Below are 25126 nucleotides of genomic sequence, written 5' to 3'. Positions count from 1 at the left end.
TAAACAAAATAATTTCTGATAATAACATATAAATGCTATCAAGAAAATAAAAGTTGGAAATACGACAGTGAATGGGACTGATGGGGAGGTGGTAACTGCATGACCTGGGGAGGTCAGGGAAAGCCCAAGACGGGGATGATATGAATGAACTCACTAAGGAAGCATCTCACGGGGAGGCATTCCAGGTAGAAAAAACAGCAAGGAGAAAGGCTCTAGGCTGCGAACTAGGTTTGCAAGTTTGAAAGTTGGAAATAAAGTTTTTATTTTCATACAAATGGTGCTTCTTGACACTGAGTACTTCCTGCATTATAGCATTTCTTAGGCTGTGTACTCACTGCTTGTTTAACTACCCTGCTTCCCTCAACAGACTCTCAAATCAAAGTGCTGAGGGTACCAATGGCCTGAGGAGGTCTGGGGTCAGCCCAAAGACATCTCAGAGTTCAGGAGGACAGCATTCCCCCAGAAGGCACCAGGAGGATGCCACACAAGACCTGACACACTTCAGCAGGTCCCTGTGCAGGGTGCAAAGTGACCAGGAAGGAGAGAGCTTCTCAGCTCCCCAGAAATTCATGAACTTCTCTTTTCATTCAGGTGACACTGTGGGAAGGATGAGTGGGAGGAAAGACCCTGATAGGGAATTTGAAGTTTATTAATTGAATCAATGTATCTGGAAGGAACTATGTTAAAGAGAAAAAGACCATTATCTTTACTTGTCAAATGTAACTGTCTTTCTAGCATCTATGAGAATGGAGGCTCAAGAGTTATTCACGTTCAAGTAAAAACAATAAGGAAAACTATCATTTGTTCCCATCTTTACATTATAGTTTATTAAATTTGACCCTGTTTTATTAATAGGGCAAATTATCAACTCAAAAAAAAGAAAGTTGGAAATGAAGGAGACAAGGTAGGAGACTAGTTTGGGGATGGCAGGCAGAGGTCTGTTGATATCAGAGTTTTAGGCCACGGTGAGAAGTTTGGATTTCATTCTCATAGTTAGGGGCGCCACGGGAGAACATGAAACACGAAAGTGTTAGGATCTGATTTAAAAGGTCACTCTGACTGCTCTGTGGGGGATGTAATATAAAGCACCAAAAGTGGACCCAAGAAGTAAGTTAGAATGCTACTGCAGGACTTCAGTAAGAGCTGTTGGCCTGGATTATGTGCTGGCAGCACAGGAGCTGAGCACCGTCCAACTGGTAGATAAACTTTCATAGAAGAGCTAACAGGACTTGCTGATGGGCTTAAGGTGGGAGGTGAGGAAAAGAGGGTAATCTTACAAGGCTGGTACCTACAGAGCCTAAAGAGAGAGAAAGAGACAGAAAGTGAGAGGCACTGAGGGACAGAAAAAAAAACATGCAGGATTGGAGAGACAGCAAGAGAAAGAAGAGCAAGATTTTCAAGATGGGGGGATTCTCCAGGTACCTAGAAATACAGGGATAAAAGTTAGATGAAAGGTTAGAATTGCAGATGTAAATTGGAAACTTATCAGCCTAAATGTGATGGTTCAAATGTTCATACACACTAATAGGCTAAGCATAGAACAGGAACAACAAGTCATGGAAAGGTGGGTATTCTTCTTTAGAAATTAGCAGGAGGAAGGAGAGACATAGGGCCATCCACAGAGACCAATGACCAGAGCAGGGAGAGGCCAAGGTGGACTGAAGCTGTGTAATACAGGCACTGAGTCTCAGATGACTTCATCCACTAGCAGCGCCCATTGCAGGGCCTTGTTTGTTGGTTTGTTTAATCTGAGACTTTAAAATAACTGAGGATATTTCAAAGACCTTACTGATCCAGAAGGACAAGGGCTTGGAAAGCGCCAATTAATTTTTAAAAGGAAGCCTTGGCAAACTGAAAGTCTTGAAACTGAAATCAATTAACAACAAGATACCAATATATACCTAGTAGAATGGACCAAGTCCAAAACATTGACATCAAATGCTGACAAGGCTGTGGAGCAAACAGGAACTCTCATGCATAGCTGGTGGGTATGCAAAATGGTACAACCCCTTTGGAAGACAGTTTGGTAGTTTTTTACAGAACTAAACATACTCTTATTATACACTCCAACAATCGTGCTTCTTAGTATTTACCCAAATGATTTGAAAACTTAGGTCTACACAAAAACCCGCACGAGGATGTTTGTTTATGCTTAATTTATAATTGGCAAAACTTGGAAGCAACCAAGATGTCTTTCAGTGAGTAAATGGATAAATGAACTCTGGTATATACAGACAATGGATAAATGAACTCTGGTACGTACAGACGATTATTCACTGCTAAAAATAAATTAAGTATCAAGCCGTGAAAATATGTGGAGGAAATTTACATTCTTGAAAAGACAAAACTATGTATAAATGAAAAAGATCAGTGGTTGCCAGGAGATAGGTTTGGGGGGAAGGATGACTAGGTACACAGATGATTTTTAGGGAAGTAAAATTATTCTGTATGATGCTACAGTAATATATATGTGTCATAATACATTTGTCCAAATCCATAGAATGCACAGCACAGAGTGAACCCTAATGTCAACTCTGGACTTTGGGGGACAATGATGTATCAGGGAAGGTTCATCAGTTGTAATACATGTGCCACCCTGCTGGGGGATGTCCATTAGTAGGGGAGGTTATATGTGGGTGGGGACAAAGGGTATATGGGAACTCTTTGTGCTTTCTGCTCAATTTTGCTATGAACCTAAAACTGCTATAATGTTTTAAAAAAGTGAGATGAGCAGAGAAGTAGGGCCTAAGACAAAAGGAAAGACACCCGGAACCAAAGCTAGAGCTGTCAGTGAGATAAGGATGGTTGCTATTATTTGTTAGCTCAACTCCACTCTTCCAGTTGCCTAGCCACAAACCATGGCACCATCTTCATTCCCCTTCTCTCTCATCCCTCATCCAGTCCATCAGCAAATACTTTTGGCTGTGTCTTCAAAGTGCATGGAGATGCTAATCACTTCTCCCCATCTCCACCATCCAGCCCTCTCCTCTTCCTCATCTATTGCAGTAGCTTTTTAATGAGACCCCTGTACCCCACACTCCTTTGAGTACCTAGGGTCTATGCTCAATAATGGAGCCCATTGATCGCATTAAAGTTTAAGCCAAGGTCATGTCCCCACTCAACATCCCCCAAAGACTTCCCTTCTCATTCAGAGAAAAACCAACAACATCCTTTCATGGCCAAAAAGCATCCACAACTGTGCAGTCCCATCTCAGATCGTTCCTACCAGCCTTCCCTACCCTCCCAGCTCTGCCTGAACCCCACTCACATCCCCAACTTGCTCCTCCAGGAATTCACCAGGCATGGCCTCTATGCTTCTTGGTCTTTCTGTCTGAAATGTTCCTCCTCAGGACACCTATGTGAGTAACACCCTCGTTTTCTCCAGCTCTTTACACAATGCCTTCTTGTCTACTTTCAATAAAATAGCAACAGCATGCCCCCCTTCCCCCCGACCCACTGCCACCCACAAATACTGGCCAGGCATGTGCCATCCCCTTTACCTTGTATTATTTTCCTCCACGGCACTTTTTACTATTTGGCATTTTCTGCCTTGAATGGTTCATTATTTTATTGTTTGTCTCTCCTCCCTAGAATGTAATTCTTATGAGGGCAGAGGCTATGATCTACCCGCTGCTGTGTCCCCAGCACCTAGTATCTGGCACACTCCAGGAACTTGAACATTCTTTGTTGAATGAATTACTGACTGTGCAAATAGAAGAAATTTCCAAATGTTTGAAGGTGGACACGAAAAAGAAATGGAAAAGTGAGCAACAGAGGCTGCTGGAACGTCTCCTATCACAGTTTTGCCACACACTTTTAGAATAAATGGCACATTCCACTATTTTATTAGGGAAGTTCCTGCCTCTTTTTATTATTGTGCACTGACTGCCCAAACTGATATATATTTTATATCTTTCACTGATATTTGACTTTTAAACCTCATTTGCTTAATGCAGTCTTTACGAACTCATTTAAGTTTTTTAGGATGCGTGGTGTTGGATTATAAGCTCCAACAAAGCCTGAATCGCAGCTGTTTGTCTTTTAGGCTATTTTCAGATGCCTTTGCTTGTAGACTACATCACTATATCTAAGCGAAAAAAACAAAACAAAAAACTCTACCCACTCTCAAAGACTTGAACACAAAACAACTGTCATGTTTATCAAAACCTGATAAACTTTTCAAACTGCTATTATTACTTCAATAGCCAAATCAAACTGCAAACAAGCAAGGCATGTTTTTGATAAGACATCAATTTGCTATCACTAAGAAATTATAGCAAAATGAGAAATCACTTGTCTCCTTGCTCAGCGCCTTCAAAAAAAAAAACATGAAATAGCTTCAATTACATTTACTGAGCAAATAGAAAGAACACAGCTTTAGGCTCTTATGAGCACCACTAAACAAGGAAATCATCTATGGCTACAAGTAAGCAGCATCACTGATATTTTCATTTCTATCTGTAATAATTGTTGATACCATAGTTAAGGATGAAAAGGAAAACTAAAGATGAAAAAAGAATACTCGGAATACTCCACTGAGCCACTCGAGAATAGGACCAGAATCTCAGATTTTGCGATACTCTTAAAATTGCAGCAACTTGCTTTCTGCAGTTCTGGTATCACTGTCCTCATTATCCCTTCAAACGTTCTTGTGTAGCCAGAAAAGAGAAGGAATCTAAGGGAAAAAACAGAAGAGTTCCAAACCTTTGACATGAAAGAACACTGTTCCATCCCTGTGTGGTGCTATGTAGCAATAAAACAGACAAAAGGCTAAAACTTGTCTGTTACAGCAATTATGAGCTTTACAAGGTTAAATCTTACTGTAGGTCTCCAAGGCCTGTCTCTATGGGAACTGCAAATCATCAACACGTGACTTTGAAACACAGACTGTTTCCCCCATGGAACATCCCCAGACACATAAGGTAGGGATGAGTTGGAGGAAATCTTTCATGGCTAAATTGTTACCTACAGGTTCATCTTTACTTTCATATTTCCTAGGGTTAAGGTTAAGTAATACCTTTTAAAATTTTTATTTATTTATTTATTTGAGATGCAGTTTCACTCTGTTGCCCAGGCTGCAGTGCAGTGGCATGATATGGGCTTAGTGCAACCTCCACCTTCTGGGTTCAAGCAATTCTCCCTGCCTCAGCCTCCTGAGTAGCTGGAATTGCAGATGTCTGCCAGCATGCCCAGCTAATTTTTGTATTTTTAGTAGGGAAAGGGTTTTGCCATGTTGGCCAAGCTGGTCTTGAACTCCTGACCTCAGGTGATCTGCCCGCCTCAGCCTCCCAAAGTACTGGGATTACAGGTGTGAGCCATTGCGCCTGGCCAAGTAATACTTCTTCCCATCCTGTCCTTATCCTCGAGCTATAATAATTAGCATAGTGTGATACAGGTTCTGAAATAGACTGACGGAGTAGAATAGAAGGTATAGAAATGTGTTCATGTATGTGGACATGTCTATACACATGTCTGTGTCTGTGTGTGTTAAATATGTGAATTTTAAATCGAAGACAAAAGGATGGATTATTTGTCAACCTGTATCCATATGAGAAAAAAACTTACATTCCTACCTTGTATCTTATACTAAAGTATATCCCAAATGCATGTGATACCCTAAGAATTCTGGTAAAAAGTTACAAGTGACTTTTTATATGGCCTTAGGAGGGAAAAAGACTTTCTAAAGCATCGCATAAAATAGGAAAATGATATCACGCCTGCAATCCCAGCACTTTGGGAGGCCAAGGTGGGCGGACCACGAGGTCAGGAGATCGAACCCATCCTTGCCAACATGGTGAAACCCTGTCTCTACCAAAAATATGGAAGACAAATTAGCTGGGCATGGTGGTATGCACCTGTAGTCCCAGCTACTCAGGAGGCTGAGGCAGGAAAATCACTTGAACCCAGGAGTCGGAGGCTGCAGTGAGCCGAGATTGCGCCACTGCACTCCAGCGTGGGGCAACAGAGTGAGACTCTGTCTCAAAAAAAAAATAGGAAAATGATACCACTAACACATAAATGATATAATGTCTGTATACAGAAAACCCCAACTAACATTTTTTTTAAATGACAAACTAGGAAGAAACATGCGTGTATGTGTCTAAGAGTTTACATCACTACTCTACTCCAACAGGAAAATAGACCTAACATTTTAACAGGACATTCACTAATTTAAAAACACCATTCTGGCCAGGTGCAGTGGCTCATGCCTGTAATCCCAACACTTTGGGAGGCCGATGTGGGTGGATCACCTGAAGCCAGGAGTTCAAGACCAGCCTGGCCAACACAGGGTGAAAACCCATCTCTACTAAAAATACAAAAATTAGCCAGGGATGGTAGTGGGCACCTGTAATTCCAGCTACTTGGGAGGCTGAGGCAGGAGAATCTCTTGAACCTGGGAGGCAGAAGTTGCAGTGAGCCGAGATCAGGACACTGTACTCCAGCATGGGTGACAGAGTGAGACTCTCTCTCAAAATAAATAAATAATTTTTTTTAAAAAATAAAAACACCATTCTAAGCCTTGACTTCCCTCCTTTTTTATTTTTCCTTAAGAGACAAGGTCTTGCTCTGTCACGCAGGCTGGAATGCAGTGGTGCAATCATGGCTCACTGCAGCCACAAACTGCTGGGCTCAAGTGATCCTCCTGCCTCAGCCTCCTGAGTAACTGTGACTACAGGTGTGTACCACCACACCCAGATCATTCTTTGTAGATACTGGGTCTCACTACGTTACCCAAGCTAGTCTCCGACTCCTGGCCTCAAGCAATTGAAGACTTGGCCTCCCAAAGTCCTGGGATTACAGGTATGAGTGCAGCTGGTTTCCCTCCTGAAAACTGAGAATACTAATAATGCATAGAAACATAGAAAAAGCTTAGTGTTGTTTGGCCCTGCCCTTGGGTCCTCAATAAAATAATTTCACTTACTATGGTGTAGGTAAATCTGTGTGTGCACATGAGTCTATCTATATGACCCAGTTCTCCCAGTTTACCCAACATTGTCCAGTTTTAGATTTGAAAGCCCAGTAACCCAGGACATTCCTCAGTGCCATGCAAACTGCCACTGCCACAGTCGGTCACTCTACAACACACATACCCAGCCAAGGACCTGGCAAAATGTGCACCAAGGCTTTAATAGTATTTAATTCCGGGAAAGAAGAGTTATTGATTTTTTTTTTTTTTTTTTTTTTTTTGGAGACAGTCTCGCTCTGTCACCCAGGCTGGAGTGCAGTGGCGCAACCTCAGCTCACTACAACCTCCGCCTCCAGGATTCAAGCGATTCTCCTACCTCAGCCTACCCAGTATCTGGGACTACAGGCGCGTGCCACCACGCCTGGCGAATTTTTTGTATTTTTAGTAGAGACAGGGTTTCACCGTGTTTCGGTCTCCTGGCCTCATGATCCACCCGCCTCAGCCTCCCAAAGTGCTGGGATTACAGGAGTGAGCCACCACATCTGGCCAATTTCTCTTATTTTTTATGCTTAGTTGTATATTCTAATATTTCCATAAATATTTGTGTTGATTTTCTGATAATAAAAATATATTTCTCTCAACTGCACCTTAAAAAATGGAATACGGCCAGGGGTATTCCAAATACCCAGTATTGGGTATTTCTTTACAGCAGTGTGAGAACGGACTAATACCCCCACATCCCCTTCCCCTGAAAACAATAGTTCTAGGCTGGGCACAGTGGCTCACACCCGTAATCCCAGCACTTTGGGAGGCCGAGACAGGCAGATCACCTGAGGTCGAGAGTTCGAGACCAGCCTGACCAATATGGAGAAACCCTGTCTCTACAAAAAATACAAAATTAGCCAGGCACAATGGCACACGCCTGTAATCCCAGCTACTGGGGAGGCTGAGGCAGAAGAATCACTTGAACCAAGGAGGCAGAGGTTGCAGTGAGCCGAGATCGCACCATTGCACTCCAGCCTGGGCAACAAGAACAAAACACTATCTCAGAAAAAAAAAAAAAGGAATACAGTTTTGCAACTATTAACATGTAGAAAATCTTCCCAAATATTGACTATTATTATATATTATATATATTATATTATATTAGCATAATTAGCTATTATATTAGCAAAACAGCGAATACGATAAAATCTTCTGCCCCTCAAGACATGACAGGGTCTTAATTTGCCAGCACTCCAGAAGTTCTCCCTGGGCGTATGTTTTGCACTTTCATGCCTTCACAATTATCATTGGAAATACAATATAAGTGGTTTAATGAATGGCGACTCGCACCACTGTATTAGCATATGTTTTTGGTGCTGTCAGTAAAAATGGGAGACTCTCCATGAACCTGTTCCGTTCAGTACAATTACATGTGTGATGTCACAACTTCAAAGACTTACTGACGTGTTTCAAATTTGTCCATTGGCTGCCAAGATTATGTCATTACGGTAGCAAGGTGGCAGCGTAACGACAGATGCAATTTATACTTAAATTGAGAGTTTTAAAGTTTTTATGTATTTCAGTTTCTTACAATATGAACCGTTCTTGATTTAAATATACACATTGAATTGGGAGGAGTCGGGGAAGAAGGGGAGTTACCGAAGAACTTTGGTGAGGAACAAAGGATGTTTGGTTATTCTTTCAGGACACAGCTCATGAGAGCTGCCAGCTGTGTGCAGGATAGAAGTGGTGGGGAGGACAAACTGAAGGGCAGGCAGCCTTGTCCTGTGACTAGGAAAACCTTCTCAGTTCACACAGACGTTCACAGTACCACTGAGATCATCTCTCAATTCCTTATTTTCTGCCAGCAAGCTGTTAGTGGCTTGACTAAAGTCTTTCCAGTGACTGTATTTTTGAATGCTTCCACATGAGCCCCAGAATGTCTCAGTTGTGAAAAGAAATAATGTATTGGCCTGGGCGCTGTGGCTCACGCCTGTAATCCCAGCACTTAGGGAGGCTGAGGCGGGCGGATCACCTGAGGTCAGGAGTTCGAGACCAGCCTGACCAACATGGCGAAACCCTGTCTCTACTAAAAATACAAAATTAGCTGGGCGTGGTGGTGCCCACCTGTAATCCCAGCAACTCTGGAGGCTAAGGCAGGAGAATCGCTTGAACCCGGGAAGTGGAGCTTGCAGTGAGCCGAGATCGCGCCACTGCACTCCAGCCTGGACAACAAGACCGAAACTCCATCTCAAAAAAAAAAAAAAACAAAAACAAACAACAAACAAAACACACACACACAAAACTATTTATTTTTCAACACCAAAAGAAAAAAATATAAGACAGGCTCTCATAACCTAGCTCTGTCTTAGAGCTAAGCTACACACACACACACACAAGCAGCTGCTGTCCAGAACTTCATGAGAACAGATGTAACTCAGCCCTATTCAGAATCCAGGACCTCTGATTTCAATGGCTCACCTATATTACAAGAGACAACTCAGCCATAATTCCAGATGTATTCAAAATCCCACTTTTTTTTCTTTTGAGATACGGTCTCACTCTGTTGCCCAGGCTGGAGTACAGTAGCACAATCACAGCCCACGGCAGTATGGGGCTTAGGTGATCCTCCTGCCTCAGCCTCCTGAGTAGCTGGGGCCACAGGCAGGCACCACCGTGCTCTGCTAATTTTAGTATTTTTTGTAGAGATGGGATTTTGCCATGTTGCTCAGGCTGCTCTCAAACTCCTGGGCTCAAGCACTTTACCTGCCTCATCCTCCAAAAGTACTGGGATTAGTGGCATGAGCCACCTCACCAGACCAAAATCCCATCTTTTGAATCTAGCACAGCGTTCATTTACCTGTTATTGCCTTGACCTCCTCTAGAGAACTGTCTTTGCTTCTCACTGTTGGCCTCATTATGGAGGCCACATCAAATATCTGTGATCACATTACTGCTATATAAAGTCCTCCTTTCTGTCTTTGCTGGAGACAAAGTGTTTCTTTTCAGCAACTGCAGCAAACCAAAAACAAATTGAGCTTTGGGCTTTATTGCTTTCCAAAACAAAACAAAACAAAACAAAACAAGGGGGAGCACAGTGGCTCACGCCTGTAATCCCAGCACTTTGGGAGGCCAAGGCAGGCAGAACACTTGAGGTCAGGAGTTTGAGACCAGCCCGGCCAACATGGTGAAACCTTGTCTCTACTAAAAATATAAAAGTTAGCAGGGCATGGTGGTGCACGCCTATAATCCCAGCTACTCGGGAGGCTAAAGCAGGTGAATTGCTTGAACCCGGGAGGCGGAGGTTGAGGTGAGCTGGGATGGCACCTCTGCACTCCAGCCTGGGCGACAGAATGAGACTCTGTCTCAAAAAAAAGAAAAGGAAAAAAAAAAAAGCCAAGCCACACACCAGAAAAGCCTCCTCTTCTATTGCCAAAAACGCATCTCCCAAGGTGTCCCTTTTTCTCACTCACTCACTCAGCCTTCAGTCCCCTCCAAATGCAAATGAAAAATAATGCCACTAGGTAGAATATTTTTTAAGATTTCATGCAAAACTTACTTTACACCCACTGTTATCATTTTTATAGAGCTGCCTGATATGGAAAAATCACCTAAAGAAGATACAATCTTCTGATAATAGCACTGCAGGAGAAAGTAAGTCACACAAGTCCCTGAAGATACATACAGGCTGGCAGCAAGCAGAGTTCTCCATGAAATGGTGGTAGAAAGTATGAAGGAAAATAAGCAGTCACATGGATCGATCAGTCCATAAAACCTGTACCCACAGGGACGGGCTGGGGCTCAGGCCAAAGTCAAGAAACCAAGACGGAGCAACGCACGAGTCCGCGAGCATAGCAGTTGATCTCTTGTCAAAAAGACTTACAAACTCAGCTCATTAACTCAGAGCCAGCTTCCAACTTTTCAGAGTTTCTGAGTGTTGGCAGTGGTGGCAAGGTTCTTTTGAAGGTTAGCCAGGCATGGTGGCTCATGCCTGAAAGTCTAGCACTATTGGGAGGTCAAATCAGGAGGATCACTTGAGCCCATGAGTTTGAGACCAGCCTGGGCCATATAGCAGGACCCCATCTCTACTAAAAAAAAAAAAAAAAAATTAGCGGGGCATGGTGTTGCATCATTGTAGTCCCAGCTACTCGGAGGCTAAGGTGGGAGGATTGCTTGAGCCCAGGAGGTTGAGGCTGTAGTGAGCCATGAACATACCACTGCACTCAAGCCTGGGTGACAGAGTGAGACCTTATCTCAAAAAAATAAAAGATCCTTTTGAGGTTCCAGGTACTTAACCTTTCCTCTCTCATTCCTTTCATTCTCAGGTATTTCCTTTCTGTTACATTATGTCGCCATAAGACCCAGCTGCCCCATTGAGTTCCTCACCAACTTTCCTGCCCTCTACCTCCTCCTACGTCCTCTCACACCTGCTACCCTGTCTTCAGAAATGATTACTGGCTCTGCAGTGATTACATTATATTTATTGTATGTATATTTATTGTATGTATATTTATTGTTTTGATCACATTGAATTGATTATGGGTTGTAGAGATATTTCTTATGTACTCTTTACCCTCATCATCAAACAACCTTAGTCTCTAATTACAAACAGCAGCAGCAACTCTCCTTCTCTTCATCCTCCTGTTAACCACGCCTCCTCCAGGCCTGCCACATAGCCCAAGTGAGTGGATGATGAGAATACTTCGAACTGTTTCATTCCCGGCCACAGGGAGTGTCACAGCAGCATAGAGGAAAATCCATTTTCAATTCAGACTGCAAGCAAGCAGCAGCTGCACCCACCAGAGCTGTGTGAAACAACTGCACACAATATGTTCACTGGGCAAAGAGATCCTTCTTGGCCACAGAGAATAAAGCTTGCAAAGAGAACCCAAGCAGAAGTTCATACAGGTAGAGAAAGACAGAAAGAGGCAACGTTCATTTGAAGAGAATATAGCCAGCATTTTGTATAACGTTCATTTGAAGAGAATATAGCCAGCATTTTGCATAACGTTCATTTGAAGAGAATATAGCCAGCATTTTGCATAACACATTGGGAAAAAAATCTTTTCCTAAAAATCAACAGGTAAAGATTCATGACTTATAGGCTGTGGTAAAAGCAATTACATCAGAAAAGACCAGTTCCTTTCTGTGCTTAGTCCTGTGGACTTTGATGGGGGTAAATAAAAGATGTCACAGCACAGCTGGTGCAGAACAAACCCCAGGGCCTGGAAAAAGATTACACGCAAGAGTCTGAGCCCACTCTGGTGAATGCCCTCACAGGTTAACGAATGAGGAAGAACTGAACATGATTACAGCCATCCAGCAGATGCCCCTTATTGCTTTGAGGGGGAGATCTGGAAAAATCTATAGGAAATTGCGTATGGTTCTCATTTGGGATATGAACTCAGTCATTCTCAAGAAATCCTTCCACTGCATTTGTCAGATGCTCTCTCTGATATCCTTTAGCTGTGACCCCACTCAAGTCTCATCTTGAATCGTAGCTCCCATAATTCCCACACGGGAGGGACCCGCTGGGAGATAATGGAACCATAGGGGCAGTTTTCCCCATATTGTTCTCATGGTAGTAAACAAGTCTCATGAGATCTGATGGTTTTATAAGGGGAAACCCCTTTCACTCGGTTCTCATTCCCTCTCTTGCTTTCTGCCATGTAAGATGTGTGTTTTGCCTTCTGCCATGATTGTGAGACCTCCTAGCCATGTGGAACTGTAAGTCCATTAAACCTCTTTTTCTCTAAATTACCCAGTCTCAGGTATGTCTTTATCAGCAGTGTGAAAACAGACTAATACACTCCCCCTCCTGTGAGGCTGAGCAGTCCCTCCCTGTCACTGACTCCCTCTAGAAGCCTCTGATACCCAACCAGCACATCTTACCTAAAATCACAGAAACCCCTGAACCCATCACATTTACCTCTATCTTTGTGTAGAGAAGGCACTAGTGATATGTGTTTGCCTATTTCATAGCATCTATATGTATTGATATTTATTTGATCCCCTATTTGAAGTAAAAGATTACACCAGATACTACGAAGAAACAAAGTTTAGGTAGCACATTGTTGCCATCAGAGAGCTAACAATCTGGTCAGATGAAAGAAGATGAAAAATCGTAAGTTAAAATGATGCAGCAATTAAGAAAGACCTCAGGACTGGTGGTCACAGCTTGGGGAATTGGAGGGAAGACTCCCACGGGGATTAAGTGTTCTTCTGCATTTCCTTCCCTACATTCAGGAAGGGGTATTAATTTTTCTTACTGAGTCCTTGGGGCTAGCCCCCCAACCTACTCAAAAAATTGGAGTATGGGTACTAGGCCTGAGCCATGATGTTCTACTCCAGGAGGCTGGAAAGGATGTTAAGGGAAAAAGTCACTTGACCACTGGAGACCCAGGAAGCAGCATCTTTAAATCAGAACCCAGTAGGACGGCCGATCAGGAATGCAATCCCAGGCTAGGATTGCGGGGAGAGAGAGAAAATACAGATGCGAGGGAGGCCACCAGCTGGAAGCCAAGGAAACCACGGTTAAGTGAAAAGATTTGAACCAGGGGGTGGGCACAGAGACTGGGAACATTCTCCAAGTCAAAGAATATGGCTGCAGTGAGTAGCTTTTATTAAAGATAATTGCACCCTTGGGTTTTAGTAGGATGAATTATACAAGGGGCTCACTGAATTTAGACACCACCTTCCACCAACAGGAGAGGGATTTTGCTTCCCCCAGGCTTATGCAGAGCAGGCCCTAATGTGCCCCAGGACATTTCTGAGGTGGGAGAAGGGTTTCTTCGCCTAGCTGTTTGACCCAGTGGCTGATTTTAATGCCACTATGTTCCCAGAACCTCTTCAAACATGTACATAAGGGTTCAAGGTAGAGAAGGGAGTCTGGAGTCTTGGATGAGCATGAGTAGAATGCTTGGGGTGTAAAGACCTGGAATATAGCATCTGTTGTTTCCTTGGAGAGTCAGAAGTTTTGGTCTTCCAGCAGCTGGCTTGGGCAAAATGTGTGTTGTATCTGGAATCAAGCCCAGACTCACAAATCTCCCCCCAGTCTCCCAGGGCCCAGCACTAGTTACTGAATTCCTTATATGTATATGACGACAGCTTAATATTGACCAGCTGTTGGGGTAACAGTGGTGCCAGAGGTGGTGGAGGACCAGTAGAAGTGGAAGAGTAATGGATTCCAAAGGGAGTGTTCTGGCCAGTGAACTATGGTGTGTCATCACAACTGAATTCTGTTGGGAATACATAGAGCATTTGTCTTTTTTTTAGTAAGAGGTGCTATTCTGGAGTTACCATTTGAGTATGAATTGATCCATTCCATATGGCTAATGGTCTATACACAACAGGCAGTGAACATGTGGAACAAGACTTGGAAGGTCTAGAACAGTCGGCTGTTTGTTCTGACAACGAATCACTGGAGTTAAGACTACAGACAATTGATCTCATCCTAAGTCTACAGAATCAGAATATTCAGGTGTCAAATTATGGCACATGTACATTTTTAAAACTCAAGTGATTCTGAGGCACAGCCAAGGATGTAAGTAAGCCTTCACTGTAGAACAATGCTTTCCAAAATTGAGAGGCAAAATGATGGCTGATTTCTGATATTATGTGGTCCATGAAGCTGAAGCCAAGTCATCTGTGGAAGTGTTTTAGGCTTAGGACATCTGTGGAGGCAGAAGGCCAACTTCATAGACATGGTGGCAGTTGTGAAACAGAGATTAATGGGAGATAAATGTACCCTCGCCATAGGACTAGTGGGCAATGACTTCCACTTCTGTTCAAGATCATTTCACTTTAGGAGGTACAACAGGAGAGAAGGAAAAATGTTAGTCTGTATTCAGGTTATTTCACAAAGAATATTATTTGGATTATTAATATTTCTGTTGGAAGAGAATTGAGTCACAGTGAATATGTTTAAGCTTAGATATTGATAATATTTTAAAATATATAATCAATCATAGATAACCTTGTTCTGGTCACCTTGACCTAGCCAGATACACCCTGTATTCCTAAGTATTTAATTCACTAAGTTAAATGAGGTGGGATCAATAGGATTTGGATCACTACTCTTCTGACTGGATTTTAATAAACAGGCCACTGGCTCATAAAGACTTTCTAACTGAACAAGAAGAGATGCCAGTGAAAGTGAGGTTCTGCTCTGATCGCAATGGGAGTGGAGGGACAGGAGGAGGCGAAGTGGACACCATGAGAAAACTGAGCCCTTTGAAATAGTACCCACTGCAGGGAACATGTTGATGAAGAGACTCAACTTCTTTAGCAGATTTCCCTATAGGGAAAGCAAGGAAAAACTGATATTCCAGCAGCAATCAAGCCAAGCACAAGGGGATTGTTAACATCACGTGCCAGCCACCTACATCCCACCCATGAAAGTATCTTCCTAGGGAGCTTGGGTGGAAGACTGGATCGTAGATAGTCCATTGTTGTCTCCACTTCCTTCTTTTACTACAATTTCCAGTAAGGAGATCACATTTCACTTCAAAGTTCCCAGTGTTGACTGCTCAATTTGATAGAGAAGAAGATGATCCAGGGGTCCAAATTCCTCTGACTAGTCAGTCAGTCCACGGACACGTCCACTAGATGGCAGCATGCTGAAATGTCATGACAGATACAAGGCCACCAAAAGCCTCTTTGGATCACATTTAATGTTTTAAATAGGCCCAGTGGTCAGCGGGTGCAGTGCCATGACGCAGGCCAAGTACCTGGGCTGTGGCCTCCTTGGTTGATACCTAGGGCCACTCTCTCTCCCTGTCATGGTTTAGATGTTTGTACCCTCCAAATCACATGGTGAAATATTATTCCCCTTGTTGGAGGTGGGGCCTGCTGGGAGGTGATTGGACCATGGGGGTGAATCCCTCATGAATGGCTTGGCACCATCCCCTCTTAGTGGTAAGTGAGTTCTTGCCCAATTCACCTGAGATCTGTTTGTTTAGAAGAGTCTGAGGCTCTCTCCTTCTCTTTCTCTTGCTTCCGTTCTCACCATGTGATGTACCTGCTCCCTGTCACCTTCCACCATGATTGGAAGGTTCCTGAGGCCCTCACCAGAAGCAGATGCCAACACCTTGCCTCCTGTACACCCTGAAGAACCATGACCCAAATAAACCTCCCTTATCAATTACCCAGCCTCAGGTATTTCTTTATAACAATGTAACAATTGCCTAACACACTCCCCATCCTCTCCTCTGCACTCTCCACTTCCCATGACTGCCTTCTTATTTCAAGGCAGGGTCGCCACACCTAAGCAATCTATCTGCTATCCAGAGCTACAACATCACAAAGTTTTGGGACCAAAGGACTCCCTGTGAGGGTATCTTGGTGGCCCAGACATCTGTTGACCAAACAATCAGTCTTGGCACTGAGTGGGTGCCCTCGTCAGCCCAGAATACCACTCCAAGCACTGGAGAGTAACCAACAGGCACTGGGACTCAGCAACAGGTGTGTCATCCTTCATCTGGGCTCCAGAGGGATGGCTAAAAGAACTGAGTGCAGATGGGCCCCCAATCTATAGGAGCACTACTCTGGCCAGAATGGTATTCATTCCTTGTGTTGGTAAGAACTGGAAAGACCAATAGTGTCATTTGTAGAAAGCCTTTGTCATCTCCAGGGTATGTTAGTCTAGGGGCCTGAATGAGAATAGAGGAACATGTGTCAGATCTCAAAGCATTGGAGCAAAGTAGAGATTGTATAGGGTGAAGGGAAGTATGGAATCTCACATGGTTAAAACCTCATTCTGATGGGATGTTTGCCTTTAAGTGCTTTGAATCCTGTATCCCATGTTTTTGAAGGAGAAAGCTTGCTTCCTTTGTTTTCACAGAAATTGAATGCAGATATTTCTGGAAAAAGCCTTAGCAATATGATGAATCATATCCACCTTTATGAGTTTCACAGGAGTACACATGAGTGGGAGACAGCCCCTCTTGAAGAATTTGGCAAAAAAGATATTGTTGTGACTCAATGCGGTGTGGTTAAGGTTACAGCTGTCTATTGAAAAGTGATCCCACACAGTCAGTGAAATCAGCAGCAACCGCAGACAGGTCATTGTCCGGCAACTGAGGGAGCCACTTGAAGGGACCTCACCACATCCCAGGGGCTTTGAAATCAGGAGCTCAAGTTTGGTTCTGCTGAGCAAACCAAACCAGCTATTTATAGTACTTATCTGACTTGAAGGAAATTAGACCAGGCATAAAAGAAATGAGGCAGGTAGTGATGGAATAGATCCCCCATCTGCTGTCTCCACAGTACATCACGGCACAGTGATGTACTGTACACCCGGAAATTCTTCAGGGCACGGGATCTGTCCTGGGCTCTGCTGTGTCCTCAGTGCCTGGCACCTAACAACCTGTGCTCAGTAAGCATTTGTTGACTGACTGATGGATTAAATAAAGTCCAAAGCAATCTTCCTCAAAGTATTGATGCATAACCCATTACTGGGTATATACCCAAAGGAACAGAAATCATTCCATTATAAAAACACATGCATGCATATGTTCATTGCAGTGCTATTCACAATAGCAAAGACGTGGAATCCACCTAAATACCCGTCAATGACAGACTGGATAAAGAAAATGTGGCACTTCGGATAGACATTATGGAATACTATGTAGCCATAAAAAGCAATGAGATCATGTCTTTTGCAGAGCTGTTATCCTTAGCAAACTAAAGCAGGAACAGAGAAACAAATACATGTTCTCACTAATAAGTGGGAGCTAAATGATGAGAACACGTGGACACAGAGGGGAACACATGCTGGGGCCTGTTGGAGGATGGGAGGGAGAGGATAAAAAAAAACTAACAGGTACTAGGCTTAATGCCTCGGTGGTGAAATAATATGTATGACAAATCCCCATGACACAAGGTTACCTATGTAACGAACATGCACCTGTACCCCTGAACTAAATATAAAAGTTAAAAATTTTAAAAATACAGTAAAAAAATGAAAAAAAAAGGATTACTGCATCCTCAAGTGGTTGGAAAGGATTGGGGCTTTTTTGGAGTGGTGGGGGAAATTGGAATATTCTCAGGATGACTGACTTTTAAAAATGAATTTATTTGTAAAATGGTCACCAACTGTGTAGTTTTGTTCTTCTTCTGTAACACAAGACTGAGAAACAGCTTATTTAGCACCCATGCAAACGCCAGGGACATCACGGGATAAATACAGCAGAATGAGTGGCACCCAAACTATTCATTTTCAACAGCCCTTTTCCTTCCTTGCTAAGTGACAGAAGGTCCTGGGAGATCCTGCCAGACTGTTTAACCTGCCTGGATTTTAACTCCTGGAGGGTAGAGACTGTGCGTCTCATTCCCAGCACCCAGCATATTGCCTGACACCAACCACAGCATGTTCAGGGGATCCTTGTTGAATGCTCATGCTCTTGGTCTTTCTCGCCAAGCAAAGACATTGGAGCGTGGGGGAATTTAAGGAGGCCTTTGACAAGGCAGAGCTGGTTAACTGAGCAAAGATTACAACAGAATATCAGAAAAAAAAAATCAGAGGAGAATTTAGAGGAGTAGCAGAGGATATTGACAAAGGGAAAAACACCTGACGAGAGTCAGTAAGATAATGATTATGTGGAGGCAGGAAGAAGACAAAAAGCAAGCAAGAGAACCAGACCCACAGTAAGCACTTATGCTACCTGACTATGGAATAGATTATGGCAGATATAAAAAAAAATGGAGGCCAAGACAGTAGGTCTTTAGGGAAATTCAAAGAACAAGGAAGGTAGAGCTCCCAGTCTCAAAGAGCTCACACACCATACTTTTTCATTAACAACACTTGGACATAGTCTCATAGCAAGAAACAATCATTTAATAATCACGGCCGGGCATAGTGGCTCATGCCTGTAATCCCAGCACTTTGGGAGGCCAAGGCAGGTAGATCATTTGAGGTCAGGAGTTCAAGACCAGCCTGGCCAACATGACAAAACTCTGTCTCTATTAAAAATCAAAAAATTAGCTGGGCGTGGTGGTGCGCACCTGTTATCCCAGCTACTCAGGAGGCTGAGGTAGGAGAATGGCTCGAACCTGGGAGGCAGAGGTGGTGGTGAGCCAAGATCGTGCCACTGCACTCCAGCCTGGGTGAGAGAGTAAGACTCTGTCTCAAATAATAATAATAATAATAATAATAATAATAATAATAATAATCAGGAATTATTATCAGCTCTGATAACTTACATGTTCATATACCTTTTAATACCTATAATATGATTATGTATTTATAACCACATTCCCCTTAATAAACTGCAAGATCATGCAATTGAAACCTCACAAGTATCATATTTAAATTTTGCTTTTGTCATCTTAAAACAAATTGAGACATTAGTACTTTCAAATGAGTATGTCCCAAAATCATCATTATGGATGCTGCTGAAAAATCTCTGGCTCTTCTGAAAAACCATCCATCACTCTCTAACTATAAATGCACCTATACTCTCAGTCTTTGTAGAACAGTGAATCTTGGCTTTTCTGGGGATATCAACATTTTGAAGAGCTAATCAAAAGGTAGGTACTCTCTCTCAAGAAAAAAATGTTTATATAATTGATTTCATTCTAAATGTGTTTTGCTGACATACTCAAATTATACAGAAGTGTACTTATGATTTTCATAAAAAAAATTAAGGTGTACTTCGTAAAATAGAAATTGAATTTAGGGGCTGGGCGCGGTGGCTGATGCCTGTAATCCCAGTACTTTGGGACGCCAAGGCGGGCAGATCACCTGAGGTCAGGAGTTCAAGACCAGCCTGGCCAACATGGGGAAACCCCGTGTCTTCTAAAAATACAAAAATTAGCTGGGTGCATGACTGTAATCCCAGCTACTCAGGAGGCTGAGGGAGGAGAATCGCTTGAGTCTGGGAAGCAATGGTTGCAGTGAGCTGAGATAGAGCCATTGCACTCCAACCTGAGTGACAGAGCGAGACTCTGTCTCAAAAAAAAAAAAAAAGGAACTTAAGATGTATAAAAAATAAAACATTCTGCTCATATTTTGATAAGAAGTGGGATTATTCCACTACACAAAACTCTGTGGTCGTCCCCAGAATCAGAATTCTAAAGCTCACTGTGTCAAAAGAGTCCAAGCTCACATTCATTGGACATCCTTTGCAATTCTTTGAGTTGAATACATACTCCATCACTTCCTTTGCCAACGAAGCGACCTGAGGCAAGGTCTGCCTCTTTGATGTTGCCCTTGAAGGTAAGAATCTTTAAAAGGGAGATGAGTCACAAGCGGAGACCTTACAACGTATGCTGTTAGGAGCCACAGACTTTCTCATCCCCTGACTGGCTCACACTCCCATCCCCCTTGGTGCTAGTTCCCTCCACACCTGAATCCTTGTCTGTTTCCACTCATCAACAGCCTCCCCAACACTGCTCTAAGTAAGCTCCTGGGGAACTGCCAAGGAACTCCCAAGCTCAGTGCAGCCGGGACGAACAGCAAGCAAGTGTGAAGTCCAAACCATTTCCCCCCAGAAGCAACCTTGATGCACTGTTTGGGCTTTGGGTTTTACTGTTTTGCTACTGAAACCATTCTGAACAAGCAGGCTGACTTTGTGACCATCCGTGCTTGTTCACATCAGGAGATGTGCTCCAAGTTCCATACAACCCATAAAAGCTGACTTCGGGAGCACAGTCTCTCTAGAGCCTGGGCTGTGCTTGCCTATGATGCTTTTATACTCACAGTCAATGTGAGTTTCATCCTCATTAGTTTTAATAGAGTTCCAGATGTATTTTATTCCTAACGGAATAAATGTATGATTTATGTCTATCCATGTCCCAAATGTCAGATACAGTAGTTAATGTTAAAAGAAATAAAAATGGAAAAAAAAACTTCTATCCATTTCTGTTTTTTATTTATTTTTACCACTCTCAGGCCAACTTATTTTTAGTTTTTTTTTTTTGACGGAGTCTCGCTGTGTTGCCCAGGTTGGAGTGCAGTGGCACAATCTCGGCTCAGACTATAGACGCCTGCCACCATGCCCAGCTAATTATTATTATTATTATTTTGTATTTTTAGTAGAGACGGAGTTTCACCATGTTGGTCAGGCTGGTCTCGAGCTCCTGACCTCAGGTGATCTGCCCGCCTTGGTCTCCCAAAGTGACTTCTATTTCCTTAATATTTTGTTCTAGGAACAGAGCGGAAAGCTGCCAGGTTTGGGCCAACAAAGCGAATAAAGAAGCTGAAAACATAATGGGATGTCTTCCTTAGAGAGCTAACTCCTCGGCAGACCCTGTCTCCCCAGCTGGGTAAAAGCTGAGCTTTGTTGTGCTACATCCCAACGATTCTCGATTAGCTTTGGCCTTCTCTCCGGCATAGGCTAAGATCCCACAGAACATTAAATTGGCTATGGAAGGAATGTCCTTGGACGCATACAGACTCCAAGAGAATACAACTTCCCATGCATTTTAAAAGCCCAATCACATCACTATTATCTTCACTCTTGGTTGCTAGCTATTGAGAATAAAACTGTGCTTTTAAATCTAGTTAGTAGCATGTGATATACTGAACACAGGCAGGCTGATGTCTTCCCTCTCACATTATTATAATCTAATGGTATTCTGCGGTCCCACAAAAAGAACAAATCTTCATCACAGCAAACTCTCTGTTTGTGGTGGCAAACTCCCAAAACAGTATTGTTTGGCAAAAACAGCAGTGTTTTTAGCAACAAAATCCAAGACAACTGTACACGACAATCTGAAACCAGCACGCTGTGGGCCAATTGAGCATCTGTTACATCTGGCTCCAAACTACCAACTCACAATCTTGATTGTCTTCAGATGTGAAGCAAACAAATCACCCGGGCTATGGGTATTTTATTTTCCTTTATTATTTTATTATATTATTATTTTGCACATAAGTCAGAGATCCAAATTTGTTTGCAAATGTTCTCTGGATATTTGAAGCCCTCTGGATAATTTAGATTTTTTAAAGTTTCTTGTGAGTTTGTTTTTTTAAACCTACTTCAATATTTAGGATGTACATGCCTAAAATACAAGAAATTATTTGTAATCAGATAACACACTTTGGAGTGAAAGTATAACAAACTCCAATTCAAAATGACTTATACAAATATAATAAAGAGTATTTATGACTCACATAACTGAAGAGTCCAGAAGAGAGGCAGAAATTAGGTGTGGTTTGGTGACAACGCTGACTCCACTTACCCATACTGCTGTCACGTTCCACGCGCCTCCTGATAGCTGCGGGCAGCTATTGGGGTTATGTACTTCCTCTTTCCCAACCAGGAGGAGAGGGAGCCTCACCTCTTACCATCTCCAGTTGCTATTTGAGTCTGAACCAGTCATGGTGGTGATTTGAATGCCAGGCACTGATTGGTTCATGCCTGAAGCACCAACCTTAGCCCAACCAATCATTGTGGCCAAAGTAATAGGACATGTTGTTTGGCTTATGCCAATCAGAGCCCACCCATAGAATTGATGGTGGGTTCATCCCACCTGGATGCTCTGTAAAAGGGCAAGAAGAAAAGAGGGGAAGGAGAACTTCACCATAGAAATGAGAAAGAGAGATGATCGACGCTACAGAAGCAGCTAGTGAATGCCTACTGCACCATTTTCCTTAAACAAATAAAAAAGAAATCTGCTTTTTCTTTTAGAATTTTAATAAGGGAACACTACAGGTATATATTTTAAGCATAATACAATGTTTTAAGTGGAAAGAGAAAGACAGAAATGGGATAGTATTTATCAACCCTAAAATAACAATTTTATCAGTATGATAGTGATTAGGAATCCTAGTGTTCTGGGATCCAAGTCCTTGGCTTTATTTATTTTTATTAATTTGTTTTTATTTTATTATTTTTTGAGACAGAATCTTGCTCTGTCACCCAGGCTGGAGTGCAGTGGTGCGATCTTGTCTCACTGCAACCTCCAACTCCCAGGTTCAAGTGATTCTCTTGCCTCAGCCTCCTGAGTAGCTGGGATTACAGGCACAAGCCAGCACACCTGGATAATTTAGTATTTTTAGTAGAGATGTTTTTTTCCATGTTGGCCAGGCTGGTCCTGAACTCCTGACTTCAGGTGATCTGCCCTCCTCAGCCTCCCAAAGTGCTGGGATTACAGGCATGAGCCACTGCACCCTGCCTACTTATTTGCATGTATTTGAGACAGGTTCTCACTCTGGCATCCAGGCTGCAGTGCAGTGGTGCGGTCATGGTTCACCGCAGCATCAATCTCTGGGGCTCAAGCAATCCTCCCACCTCAGCTTCCCAAGTAGCCGGGAGTACTGGTGCACACCACCATGCCCAACTATTTGTTTTTTATTTTTAGTAGAGACAAGGTCTTGCTACATTTGCTACATTGCCCGGGCTGTGTCCCTGGATTTAAATGGTACCTCCATCACTTACTGATTGCGTGACGTTGTGTGAGTCAGTAAACATCTCTGTGTCTCAGTAAATGAGAATAACAACAGTGCCTATAACATAAGGACTGCATTTAATAATACAGGCATTATTGTAAAATAATAATCCCAGCACTTTGGGAGGCGGAGGCGGGCGGATCACAAGGTCGGGAGATCGAGACCATCCTGGCTAACACAGTGAAACGCTGTCTCTGCTAAAAATACAAAAAATTAGCCAGGCATGGTGGCACATGCCTGTAGTCCCAGCTACTAGGGAGGCTGAGGCAGGAGACTCACTTGAAGCTGGGAGGCAGAGGTTGCAGTGAGCCAAGATTGTGCCACTGCACTCCGGCCTGGGCGACAGAGCAAGAATCTGTCAAAAAAACATACAAACATGCAAACAACGACAACAAAAAGAATAAATGAATGAACAAAAAACAAAAATGGTAAGTGCTCCCTGATTATTACCCATCCATTAGAATGTGACCTCTCTATGGATGGGGACTTGGCTTGCCTACTTCACTGCCAGAACTTCAGTGCCTGGCACAGCGTGGCTGCTGTATAATAATGGCTAATAGTTGTGGGGAGAATGAATCAACCTCCTTTCCTCCATCTCTAACTCTCAAAATGAGAGTAAAGAAGAGGAAAGGGTTAAGGAACTCAGAGGGCAGGCGCAGCTGCAGCAAGTTCTTGGTGGAAGGCCAGCACTCAAATCCAGCAGGAATGGGGTTGGGAGTTGTGGATCGGCTTTGAGTGTGATTGGAATAGTGCAGCTGACAAGATCTGGAAGAGAAGAGGTAGTAGTGTTTGTTAAATCTTCCAGCGTGGGCAGGCTTTTGTTTTTTTTCTTTTCTTTTTCTTTTTTTTTGTTGCCTGAGAAGCAAAGGATAAAGATGGATCATCTGGTTCAGTAACACAGTCTTAAAGTGAAAAATCTGGGGGTTTCTGTATGGGAAAAGAGAGAGAGAGGATTCAAAGGAAAAAGACAATAGAGGATTTAATCCAAAACATCTAAAAGCAAATATTGTTTTCGGGGATTTTCAGAGATTCTCTACAAAAGGAGAAAGAGACTGACTACTAAGGAGGAGAGAGATACAACCGTGGAGAGGTTTTATATGTGGGGACTGCATGTCCATCTTAAAAGATGGCTACAGGACTTCCTCATTGACACAGATAAACACACTACATTTTCAGAAGGTCCTGCCCTTCCCCAAGCCTCCGTTTATTCCCAGGCTTCTGCCAACATGTGGCAGAATATTGACTACAAGAATACAAGCCAGGCATGATGGTTCAAGCCTGTAATCCCAGCACTTTGGGAAGCCAAGCTGGGAGGATTGCTTGAACCCAGGACTTTAAGGCTAGCCTGGGCAACATCACGAGACCCTGTCTCTACAAAAAACGTTAAAATTAGCCTGGAATGGTGGTGCATGCCTGTAGTCCCAGCCACTCAGGAGACTGAGGTGGGAGGTTCACTTGAGCTCAGGAGTTTGAGGCTTCAGTGAGCCATAATCATGCTACTACACTCCAGCCTGTGTGACAAAATGAGACTCTGTCTTGGAGAAAGAAAAAAAAAAAAAAGGATAGGACCTATTCAATGAGAAAAAAACAAAAACAAAAACAAAATGCAACTTTGTTCCCAAGATAAAGCAATAAGTATTCTCTTTGGAATATTCAGAGAAACAATATAAAAGGTAAGTTATCTTGGGAGGCCGAGGCGGGCAGGTCACCTGAGGTTGGGAGTTTCAGACCAGCCTGACCAACATGGAGAAATCCCATCTTTACCAAAAATACAAATTTAGCTAGGCGTGGCGACGCATGCCTGTAATGCCAGCTACTTGGGAGGCTGAGGCAAGAGAATC

The 25126-nt window shown here is 43.0% G+C and overlaps 1 long non-coding RNA gene across 3 annotated transcripts in view; it reads right to left on the bottom strand.

Moving 5' to 3' along the window:
* Positions 1–22191, bottom strand: part of LOC124902383 (uncharacterized) — a 121044-nt gene extending 98853 nt beyond the window's left edge. For all 3 annotated transcript variants that reach the window (XR_007062071.1, XR_007062070.1, XR_007062069.1), the window contains exon 1: positions 22076–22191. This is a non-coding gene — a long non-coding RNA (uncharacterized LOC124902383). The remainder of the gene's footprint in view (positions 1–22075) is intronic.
* Between the last annotated feature and the right edge of the window lie 2935 nt (positions 22192–25126).

Source organism: Homo sapiens, chromosome 10, assembly GCF_000001405.40.
Source record: "Homo sapiens chromosome 10, GRCh38.p14 Primary Assembly".
Lineage (NCBI taxonomy): Eukaryota > Metazoa > Chordata > Mammalia > Primates > Hominidae > Homo > Homo sapiens.
Note: the sequence above shows the minus strand (reverse complement) of the source record. Positions and strands in the feature narration are given on the sequence as shown.